The sequence below is a fragment of the Homo sapiens genome, chromosome 11 (genome assembly GCF_000001405.40).
Source record: "Homo sapiens chromosome 11, GRCh38.p14 Primary Assembly".
NCBI classification, from domain to species: Eukaryota; Metazoa; Chordata; class Mammalia; order Primates; family Hominidae; genus Homo; species Homo sapiens.
This window is the reverse complement of record NC_000011.10, coordinates 92,522,167-92,534,335: the sequence shown is the minus strand read 5'-3', so window position 1 is coordinate 92,534,335 and position 12,169 is coordinate 92,522,167. Positions and strand designations below refer to the sequence as shown.

General features: G+C 40.0%; 1 protein-coding gene across 12 annotated transcripts in view, besides 1 other annotated feature; it reads right to left on the bottom strand.

Moving 5' to 3' along the window:
- The window catches only part of FAT3 (FAT atypical cadherin 3), a 671,656-nt gene that overhangs the window by 362,138 nt on the left and 297,349 nt on the right, over positions 1-12,169 (bottom strand). For all 12 annotated transcript variants that reach the window (XM_017017179.3, XM_017017178.3, XM_017017180.2 and 9 more), the window contains one exon: positions 9,388-9,702. In XM_017017179.3, the coding sequence (XP_016872668.1) occupies positions 9,388-9,702 (315 nt within the window). The remainder of the gene's footprint in view (positions 1-9,387; positions 9,703-12,169) is intronic.
- Positions 9,312-9,847: an enhancer, noted in NCBI's record as "OCT4-NANOG hESC enhancer chr11:92257655-92258190 (GRCh37/hg19 assembly coordinates)". NCBI's record gives its function as "activates a minimal SCP1, AML or CMV promoter by ChIP-STARR-seq in primed H9 embryonic stem cells {active_cell/tissue: H9 hESC(primed)}" and the evidence as "EXISTENCE:reporter gene assay evidence [ECO:0000049][PMID:30033119]".

Sequence of the window (12,169 nt, the reverse complement as noted above, 5' to 3'; positions counted from 1 at the left end):
TGACCCTGGTCAAACCACTTTTGTGCCCAGAGCCCAGAGTTTTGTTCCCCTCCCCCCCCAGGACTGTGGTTATTGCTGAATGAGCTAATACATGAACATGTTGGCATGGCTCGAGACAGTGAGTAGACCTGTGCTCTGGGTTAAGGCTCCTCTTTCCACCATCCCTTCATACTTGATAGACAAGGGACACACAGCCCAGCAGTATCTAGGAGTCTCCCTAACAATGGCATCCAAGAATGGAGAGAGGCGGGCAGTGGTTTCAATTAAAATTCACTGTTTCCCACAGAACAGAAGAAAGTAATAAAGCAATGTAGTAAATTACTGCTGTGGAAATAATGCCCAGATAGAAGAAATAAAAGAGAAATTTATGACCTTAATCAATCTCTCTTTTTTTTAACACATAAATACAGCTCCATCATCTGCTCTATTTACATGACTCTATCACCCTCCCAAATAATTCTCAGTAATTTCCAACAGCAGCTACACCATGCAGCTGAGCCCCAGGGTAAGGCTGGCTATAGGAACTACCACCTCCATCACTACCTTTTCTCAGTGGGTTAGCAGGACATGAAGCAGCATGGAACAAGGAACAACACAATTCTCCTCCTAGAATGAACTATAGCTCTTGGAAGTGCCTGTGAGCTGCCCCTGCGTTGGGGAAGGTCCCAGCCAGGTCAAGAGCATCATTTCTCTTATGCTCTTATCATTTAGTTCATGACTGCTGATTCCTCTCTTCCTTTTATTAAAGCTCCCTATCCCTGCCTGTAATTCAGTTTTATAAAGAAACAGCATCGAGCAATCATTTTCCAAGTAACAATCCTGTTAACTCGAAGATCCAAATCTGCTTCTCATAAATGGGGTAAAACACATGCTGTTGCCCTGTCCATTGGAATCTAACTTAATTGGGGAGTCAAATTACTTCCTATCATGGATGGTGGCACTAGTTCGCACTTAGCCCAAGGCTTCAAAATCCTATGACGTACTGGAAGATGGGGATCCAGCACGTGGCTCAGGGGCTATGTGTAGTGGCTTATGCCTGCAATCCCAGCACATGGGAAGATGGGAGGATTGCTTGAAGCCAGGAGTTCAATAATAGCCTGGGCAACAGAGTGAGACCCCATTTCTAAAATAATAATAATAATAACTGGATACGGTGGTACATACCTGTAGTCCCAGCTACTTGGGAGGCTAAGAGAATTGCTTGAGTCCAGGAGTTTGAAGCTGTAGTAAGCTATGATCATGCTACTGCACTCCAGCCTGGGCAACAGCGGGAGACTCTGTCTCTTAAAAAACAAACAGATAGTGGTCTGGGACACTGGTCTAAGTCCCTATGCATCTGCAGTTCCCTGGGGCTTGTAAATGGGCACTGAATACTTAATATGGATGCCAACACCTCAGAGAGCCTTAATCTAGATACATGACTGCAGAATCCCTACCTGAGGTCACAAGGATTTTTCTTCCCCCCTTTTCATCTAGGATTCATCTAATGTGGATTGTTTCATTCCAATGATGAAACAATCCACATATTGATCCGTCAGAAGGCTGGCATTAAGCAGGAACAGGATTTGGAGCTGCTTAAGCATTTCAAGGGAAGAAACCCTGAAACTCTGAAATTAATCCCTTCATGATGTTTTCTGGAGAAGGCTGTTCAAAATGGGCTCTGAGGAGAATTTCGTTACCAGCCAAATCCTCTCCAAATATTAAGAGTTGAGAAAATGATAACTTAATTCACATGTATTCTGTTTGAAGTTTTGTTATTATTATTATTTTTTCTCTAATGGATTCTATTTCAAGTATTCATAGAGCCTTTAAAATACAAAGAACCTGGAGTCAGAGGGAAGTGAGAGGCAGCTTTGGATTTCTTCTCTTTTAAATTTTTAAAAACTTGTAACAAAAGGCGGGTTAACAATAGAAAAACATACAAATGTATTTAACTGAAGTTACATAAGACAGAAGATTCTTCAGAAAAGAAAACCCAAAGCCAAGGGAAAACTGTGTATTTTTGTGTTTAGGTTTGATGAAGAATGGTCAGTTGTGTAGAAGTATGACTGGACAAAGAGGGTACATCCTAATGGTAATAAACTGGGAGAAACTTAGCAAGGCCTCTTTGTGTAACATTCCTTCCCTCTAGGTATTTCATTTTATTATTAATAATATTTATGTGTACATATATATGTACACATACATACACACGTATTACATATAATAGTTATAGTTATATGCCATCACATCTCAATTGTCAGTCATTTCATTTTGCACAGGGTGCTTTGCTAGGGGCCATATGGAATGGGGTTCTGTAAAGTATTCCACGTTAGTGCAATGGTTCTCAATGGGGGCAGTTCCTCCCATCCCTAGAATGTATGATAATGTCTGGTGATATTTTGGTTGTCACAACTGAAGCAAGGGGTGACCCTGGCATCTAGCAGAGGCCAGGGATACTGCTGAACATCTTATATAACATATAGAACAGCTCCCCACGACGAAGAATTATGTGACCAAAAACATCCACAGTATCGAGGTTGAGAAACTCTGAAGTTGGTACTTACATTCACAATAAGTATATGAAAAAAAAAATGAAGCTATATGAAGGCAGAGCGAGTCCACACTCTGGACTTAATTTCCAACAGCAGCTACACAATGCAGCTGAGCCCCAGAGGAAGGCTGGTTATCTGGGAATACCACACCATCGCTACCTGTTCTCAGTGGGTTAGCAAGACATGAAGCAGCATGGAACACAGAGCAACACGATTATTCCCCCAGAATGAACTGTAGTTCCAGGAAGTACCTCTGAGCTGCCTCTGCCCAGGATAAGGTCCCAGCCAGGGCAAGAGCATCATTTTTCTTATGCTATATAATACACCACACTCTCCCATGCCTGATGGCCCACCCTGACCCAGCCCTCCACATCCTTGGAACCCCATGACCCCCACCCTCAACCCACAGTTGTGAGCTGATCAAGTGGGGAACTGCACAGCTTCCCTGGGGACATAATGACAATGCAGAAAAGTTCCCTTTGTCCTTGTTCATGTGGAGCACATTCACGTGGATGCAAAGGTCACCGCTGAATTTAAATAACCCCCGTGATAAATCTGCATAAGCCCGATTTGTTCTACTGGACTTGTTGGATTAAATGAACACAATTTAATGTTCTATAGGACAAGGGCTCCTTTCATGGCTGAAAGAAGGAGCAAGGGTGATTTACAGTTTCACACATACTCATTCGCTACATTATCTGCCTTGTGCCTGTAGTTATGAATATCAACTCATCATCCGGCAGCCATTTCTACCCATTCAGGAGAATTTAGCTTTTTATTAGGAGGGGCTCTGCCATCCCGAAAGAAACAAAGAACAAAAAACAACAATAGATTTCCGCAATGTTCACTGAAAAACAAGCACCAATATTTGGACCCTTGTACCTCACCTTTTTTTTTTTCTTTAAATCCCTATATTTGTAAATAAAGTAAGGTTTCCTCCTCTTTTCCTAGAAAAGGTGGTTTTCTAAGCAGATTACCACCACATGGAACTGTGCATAAACACAAGGCTTAACTTACCTAAGATAACAAATTATTTTTGAACATCCATATCTTATGAACTAACACTTTTTTATAATCATATATTAAAATACAATAATGTTTGTTGATTCATTAAAGTAGGTCTGAACTCCACTTAATAACAAATTCTGCTTGATTCTACCTATTTGGAAATAATACAAGTGTATCCAAACATTACGTGACCCAGGTTTTTTATTAACTACAAGTCTTAGGAATCCATGTGATATTTTGCTCATGGATAGTTAGAGACAGGATTTTCATTTTTCTCCACTTGATAAAAGAGAAAGTATAAGTAAGGATATGGGAGTTGATTTTGGGAGTGGGTGACTGAATTAACTCTCAAACCTCAGCCCCGTAAGATGTTGGGGTAACTCATAAAGTTTGCTGTCTTGTCCTCAGGTGTCTCTGGGCACCTTGTTACCTCCCTCATTTGTTTCATATAGAACCTTGCTAATCAGGCTCTCAGGAGAGAGCAACATCATCATCACCTAGAAACTTGTTAAAAATGCAAATAATCAAGCTCTGGCCTAAGACTCTATAGTCTAGCAAGCTCACCAGGTAATAATTTTCAGGTTGAAGTGTGGTCTGGATTTCTCTCCCTGTTACCCCCTCTCTTATCCACTATGTTGTATACCATATACCAAAAGGCATGCTGATGTTATATGCAGCTGATTAAAAAACTAAAGACATCCAATATTTTAATAAGCTATCTCCTCCAATTTTAATAGAGAAAGGAAATGTCTATCCTAGGAGTAATCAATACTTAAAGGTAGAATTTGAGGTATTCTTACAGCACACACACTTTTGAAGAGGATTTCTTCCTCCTAAGTCGCCTAAAGTGGGGGTAGCCAGTCTACCAACACATAAACTATGTTTTACTCAGGTTTATTTCAAGATGCTCACAGAAAGCAAAAGAAAGCTGAACTTCACCTCTACTCAAATACAAGTGGAGATGCCAGTGAATGGAGCATGGGTCAAAGGGAGACAGAGCAACTGCAGAAATAAACTTAGAAATTCCATGCCCTGGACAGTGAACCATTGAAAGATCTGGATTAAGCAAAAATCACTTTCACAGGCAGACTCTCAATGCAGCATATGCTAATCCTGGATCTATGTTTTACAGACACAAAAGAAAGAATGAAGGGGTCTCTTTTATGTATGTGTTTTTCCCTTTAAAATAATTCCTTTAAGAAGTAGGTCTCTCAGAAGGAAGATTGGAAAAAACAAACAAACAAAAAAAACAAAACAAAAAAAACAAGGCCCTTTAAAATTTAACTATTATCAAACTCAGAAACAAATGAAAAGAGATGTATGTATTTGCTACTTCTAATATCTTACCACTTTCCTGACATTTATGACTCTTAAAATTCGCTTTCTAATAATATCATGCCTCTCAAGCTATCTGGTAAGCTTCACTTGTTTATATTCCCTGTATAGTTATCTGGCCTCTGTCTCTGCAGGTCAGCCCATTCTTCAGGCCCCCTTCAGGTCCGCAAAGATCCCCTGTTACTCAGCTCTGCTCTGACATGTTACACTGTTCATAGCTTATAATCCACAAAGCTCCACTCTTTTTTTGTTTTGTTTTGTTTTTGTTTTAAATAAGCTGCCTTAAATGGTAAGTATGATGGTTCTGTTTTTCCTATGAGACTAAATTCCCTGAGTGCAGAAAGTATCTTCCAATGTATTTCTGTTATGTCTCCCACCCTGCTGACACCTGGGGTCTAGATCAACGGTACGTCATGCACTTCATAAAACTGAGTTGAAGATTTCAGTGCTACCTAGCAATTGCTAAGGCAAGACATGGCTGCCTTTCAGAAATGTCTTCCTCAAGATAGTGGGGTCCAGGAGCAGTGTGCTTGTAGCTTACACAGACTTTTTTTCTAGGGGGAAATACGGGATGATGATGATGATCGTAATAGTTAACATTTATTGAGTTCTCTACTAAACACTGGCATGTCAGCCCTGTACTATGGGGTTTCCATGGTGTAAACATGACTAAAATAAACCTTCCAAAGCCCTAGAAGAAATTTCCACCCCTGCTCCCCACTTCAGCCTGGATGACCAATGAGGGCCACCCTGGACTCCCTCAAAAGAACTGGAGGCCGGGCACGGTGGCTCACGCCTGTAATCCAGCACTTTGGGAGGCCAAGGCGGGCGGATCATGAGGTCAGGAAATCGAGACCATCCTGGCTAACACGATGAAACCCCGTTTCTACTAAAAATACAAAAAATTAGCCGGGTGTGGTGGCAGGCGCCTGTAGTCCCAGCTACTCGGGAGGCTGAGGCAGGAGAATGGCGTGAACTCGGGAGGCGGAGCTTGCAGTGAGCCGAGATCGTGCCAATGCACTCCAGCCTGGGCGACTGAGCGAACTGGAAGGAAGCAACATTCCTGCTCACCCAAAGAGGCAAGTGAACACCGGCCTGATGGTATCTCCACCTCAGACATGGGGGTAGGCTGCATTTGATTGAATTTAACTGCTTGGCCTGGAATTAAGCAAGAGTTCTCTGTACCGGCCAGAAAAAACCACACAGCATTACAGCTTTTGTTTTCCTTAAGCCACAGGAATTACTAAAGAAAGTCCACAGACTACTGATTCTACGTGATTCTAGATGTGGTAGAAAAAAACCCAGTTATTTGTGTAGAGAACAGATGTTCGATAAAGAAATCTCTCTCCATTTTGGGGTTGGGAACATCTGTTATCTGCTACAAGCTGTATATCATACATCTTGGCATTATTTGCGTTGGCGTTAATCATTTTAATCTTTATTATGTAGCACATTGCCAAAACAAAACCAAATTCTAAAAATTCCAACTGTACAGCAGAGGAGGAAATGAAAGCTTAGTTTACTAGAGTCAACATCCATTTGAGAAAAAAATCTAAAGCATAAATCTTTCCTAAATATACTGGTTAGTATGCCTCTGTCTATGTATCTATGTATCTATCTATGTATCTATCTATCTATCTACACACTGGTTAGCTACACATCCAGCTTCATTACTGAAAAATGTTATATTGATGTAACTATTTCAGACAAATGACTTTAGAGTCAGGAAGAAATGCCAAAAATTAAGACTTCTATTAGAGAGTTCCTTGAGCTGGCTGAAGGTTGCCCCCTAGGCAGCATGATACTTAGAGCAACACCATTAACAAGAATTTCACCAGACTTGGAGTTCTGTGAATCTCATTAGAAATAGGCATAACATGACTCTTACAGAACTCTGTAGTTTACCAACAGCCTTCAAACACATCATGATGACATTCAGACTTCATGAGCAACCCTTGCAGAGTAAGCAAGGTCATTTTCATTTTCCAGATAAGTAAGTGAGGTCCAAAGAGATTAAATGACTGTAACTACAGTAAAGTAGTTAGAATGGGGTATCAGCTTTTTTTGTGGGATTTCAATGCACCAGGCACTGTGCAAAGGATTTCTGGTGAGGACTCCTATATTCCTTGCAACTATTTTTACTCACTAAAAACTACATTTAAGAGAGGTTCAATAATTTCCCCAAGGTCATGAAGCTGGTAAGTTCATGAAGCTGGTGAAAACTGTGCAATACAGTCTGTTTCCCCCACTGTGTTCTATGGTGTTTCGTAGTTAGAAAGCACAGAGCAAGCATTTGAAACTCAGGACTTCTAACTCCAAATGTGACTTCCTCCATGAAGCCCTCCCTGACCATCACTCCCACCAACCCTATATTGAGTGAAGCTCCCCTGCTGGAATCATTTATATCTTTAGCTATATCATAAGTATTTGTTAAGTTCATATAAGTTTGGGTCCCTAAGGCTGGGACCATATCTTAAGTTTATAACCCTCTTTATTAGATCTTACTTGAAAAGTAATAGGTACAATAAGTGGTTGGTGATTGAATAAATGGATAAAAAAGCAGTATTTTCTTATCATGTGTCTGGAAACTACAAGGTATGCTATATATTTCTTTAGACAATTAGATCAGTTGGACAAAAATGTCATTCCTGGCAAAAATGCTTTTTAAAAATCTATGGCAAGAAGAGAGAAATTATGAACATGCTTAAGGATCTTATTAGCAACGTAGGCCAAATAGTGATAAAACAGGGCTTTCTGAAAAATTATGTTCAAACTTTTAAAAGCCATATAAAAGAAAGCTTTAGTTACATGAATGAGCATGTTCTTCTCTGAACTTCACATCCAACCCAAATTCTTCCCTCTTCCCTGTGACAGTTATTTTTTCTATTCATTCCTAAGTAAAGGATGAGAACAGAGAAAACTTCCCTTTTGCAGCTTTTTATTAAATTCTTTAAAAAAAGGGTGCTGGGCCTACCATTAATGACTCAAGTAGCAATGGGATCAAGATGGAAGAAGCAGAATCTGACTGGGGTATTTCAGGCTCCACTGGGTTGTGAAATGTGAAGATACCTGTGGCCTCAACTTCTTTACTGTGACATTGTTTGTTTTTGTTTTTGTTCTCTCTCTCCCTCCACCACAACCCTCACTCTTAAATTTGCAAAGTGATTGAATTCATTTCTCTGTGGCTATGTTCTAAGGAGCTCTTTGCCATACCAAAAAGTAAATCAGGAGGGCTTCCCAGGAAAGTTGGAGGCCTGTTCCGCAGAAGCATGGAGAATTTTATCTACTTAATGGGGCTCTGAAAGGTTGGGCCAAGGCTCCAAATCTGAGCCCTCTTCTGCAAGTACAAGCAGGCCTCAACAGATACTGATAATTACTACTCTCTTTGTCTTACAATAAAATACAAGTCAAATCCCGATTCAACACTGTTAGAATGCAAAAGTCTGCTTAACAAAATGATTGATCCACTCATAATTAGAGAAAATCAATAATTTTCTTTCTTAAACCCTGACATTCTCTTTCATTATATTAATGGGAGTCTGACATTTATAAAATACTTGAGGTCAGCTACATGTTTCTGTTTAACAAACATAGGCAGGAGAAACGACCATCAACTAGATTAGTAGTTCATTAGGAGAGCTGAGTTTGTTCACACCAACAAATCTCAACTAAGCCTAACTTTTTGAACCAATATCAACTCACTTGCCCAGGGTGAAATTAATTTAAATTATTCTAAATTTCAAAGAATTAAAACCCCATCCATCACAACTCTCACTATTTTACTCCTTTGTTCAGACCTAAAAGAGGCAAATCACAAGAAAGCAATGAACCTCTCAGATCTGCAAAAAACTTTTCCAACGTACATACCTGTCTCAGAATGCATTCAGCCAAATGCACACCTGCTCCCGATCCTTAGACCTTTCTTACCCTTACTCAACCAATTAAGTTTTCATTACAATCTCTAAAAACGTTTTGAGCAAAAGACCAGAAAATTGAAGTTATACATATTTTATGTAAAAATTGAGACACTGGAAGTTCTTTTAAACATGGATGCTTCCTTGATGGGTAGTACAGGAATCGCAAAAACATCTGGAGTTTGAGGTGAAGGCTTTAAGGAGATCAGCAAGGGAGAAGTGTCTAGAGGTAGAGGCATCACAAAGCCAGCTTGCTCATAGAATCCAGCAGAGGCCAGGTTACTCTTTTCAAGAAAGAGAAGGAAGCAGCTGGCTCTCTGAGTGGCCTGGGAACCACATTTTATTATTATGAGTAAAGCAAATCTAAGGCCTTTTGTGAAAACCTCTGATTTTGATTAGATCACTCCCACTCAGTGTCAAGTGAAATTAAAACATACCACATAGGCAGAAGTGGCACTCACCTTTTCAGAAACCATTCTCAGAAAGGAAGATGCTATTCTTTAGAAAATAAAGTAAATGAGTACAGAAAGTGTCAGGCTGATGAATTTAAAGGCTGGACTACAAACTAAAAAGAAGTCATATAAGCATTCCCTTACCTGTTTTGATATTGATGGCAAAAAAATTCTGAGGATTTCCACTTGTAATCCTGTATGTCAGTTTTTCATTGGAACTGGAGTCAGGATCTTCAGCCTGGATCTGAATGACAGATACGTCCTTTGGAGAGTTTTCCATGACAACAGGATAATATATAGGTTCTGAGGTCAGCGGGGCATTGTCATTCACATCTTCAACTTCAATGTAGACCTCAATGGTGGAGTAGAGTGGAACAACGCCCCTGTCTGTGGCATACACTGTTAGCCAGTATGACCCCATTGTCTCCCGATCAAGAATGTCTGCGGCAGTGATGACCCCTGAGACAAAAAAGAGAAGTGTTACTGTCACAGAGAAAGGGAAGACATTAAATAAATAATCTCAAATTCCAAAGGACTACACTAAATAATCTTGGCATATGAAAAACACCCAAATCCATAACATAAGGTTAAATTAAGATGTCACTCTTTACATAAGAAAATGATTTTCAGCAGGACCAGATTAAATAGTTCTTCTACTGTTTATAGAGTATAATTACATTTACAAATACTTTATTTGAATTTTGGAGATAGATATCTCTCAAACAAACCTGAGCTCAGATGCACACACACAGAATAGATGATATAGAGGAATGAGAAGAGGTTGGGCCAGGGGTCAAAGCACTTCCCATGTTTCATGGGAAATCAGTATAGTATCAGGTCAATATCTCCATTTGACCTGATATTGAATTGACTTCTTATGCAATGAAAAGCTCTCCTAGGGTAAATTATTTTATCTGTTCATTTACAGAAAGAAGAAAAACCTTTCAAATATTCTTTTTTTGCCTGTTAGAGTGGAAAATATTTTGCCTGCAAAGGTGTAACCCTCCTTCTTACTTTTTCCCCGAAAATGAAATGTCACAGCTATTCCAACATAATCAGAGAAGAGGTCATATAAACACGTTCCAAACGAGTTCCATCCCCCTTAAGAACTCTACAGAGGGCCCTAATAAACTCTGAGCCACTTTGAGAGATGCTCATGGACAATCATTTTAAATTAGGAGCACAAAATGCCCAGTCTTTCCCATTTCATGGTTGAAACAAGTGCCAACCAGGAAATCAGATGTCTGCCTAAAAAGCCAGAGAAAACACAGTGCTCTTGTCTATCTTTACAACACTTACCCAATCACTAGGCTGCAGAAACTTACCACAGGGACAGGATCATGAGCCCATCGTGATGGGAAAACTCTGGGCTCAGTGTATAAAAACTGTAAAAGTAGTCAGGAGGCTCATAGAAAGCGTGAAATTCATGTAAATCCTTATACTATAAAAGACATTGTGAAAAGAGTCAAGAAACAGTTCTCCAGTTCTGCCCTGAATTCTCTATCCTCTGTATTCCTGTTAAACTTTTGTCTAAATTAGGCATATAACTTAGCCTATAGACCCTGCATAAGCAAACTGCCAAGTACAGCAACGGGGAGAGAGGAGGGCATCTGTCCAGAAACAGTTAGGCTGGAATACTCAAAATTTCCTCAAACTCAAGACAGATAAAATATTTAAAGGGTGATAACCGGATTGATGTTGAAATTTCAGCTGCTATGTTATTCACCAAAGAACTCTGCATAGTGGTAGGCCATGGGACAAAAGTTAATCTCAAATAATCTAAATGGAAATATGTAAAACAATGGGTTCCTATAGAATATGGCTGATATCTGGTAGTTAGAAGAGAAATGCCAATCTGTCATTAGAGGAATAGGTACTAGACAATAGAATAGGAAGAAAATGAGAAGTAAAAGCAACAACAACAACAAAAGCTATTATAAACGCAGTGATGTGTGTTCACTGATTGAATGAATAAAGACAGCTTTATAAACTGGGTTGACACTGCCATCTATAAGACCACCAGGATGACTAAATAGTGGAAAGGAGAACTTTATTGGCAGCCAATATCGGTTTGCAAACTGGGAAGAGATGTTGTCCAGTGTGTGCCGAAGGTGCTCTCTTTTCCAAGAGGGGAAGGCCAGGTTGGTTTTATGCCTCATAGGGCCCATAGCACACAATGCAGTCATACATATTCAGCAGATTTGGGAGAAACATCATACATATTTATGAGAAGACCATATTCGCAGTGGGCAAACATACATGCAACATACATTCTATGTTCACTTTGGGGCAGGATTTTAGCATTAAAATGAGGTGGAATTTGGCTCTTTACATCAAAAGATGAACTATAGGACACAAAGACAGTTTGTGCACAGGCTTCATAAGCCAGCTGATACTGGCTTAGGTCTGCAGTAGCTTATCAGAAAGTAATGTTTGTGAGACAAATCCTCTGTCCAACCAGAGTTTTAGTGGTCTGGGTTGTAAATCAAAGTTAGGACAATTTGCCTGGTAGCACTTATTGTTAGAGAGTCTAGTAGGAGTGTGGTTTTTCCTGTAGGAATTTAGAAATCTGCCATGCCAGCTGGGCCCTGAACCGTCAACCCAGAAGCTACTCTGTTTTTTAACCTTAGGATTCATCTTAGTTGATAAAGGACCATCTATTTTGGTCTCTCAGACAGAGTCAATTGTCAATATGACATTAAGAACCAGAGAAGGAGGGCTCTGAGGGTTGGATACCTGAACAGGTGTGAGCACATCTGTGAGTACAGGACACCAGCACATCACAGACACCATGGACAGTTTTGTGGAACTCTCATAGCAGTCAGTGCCATGAGGTGCCACCCAGGTAGGCTGGAGCTCTGCAAGTCATAGAACAGACAAGTGACAGGGAACTAAGCTGTCTCTGGGATGGAAACTAAGAGTAGAA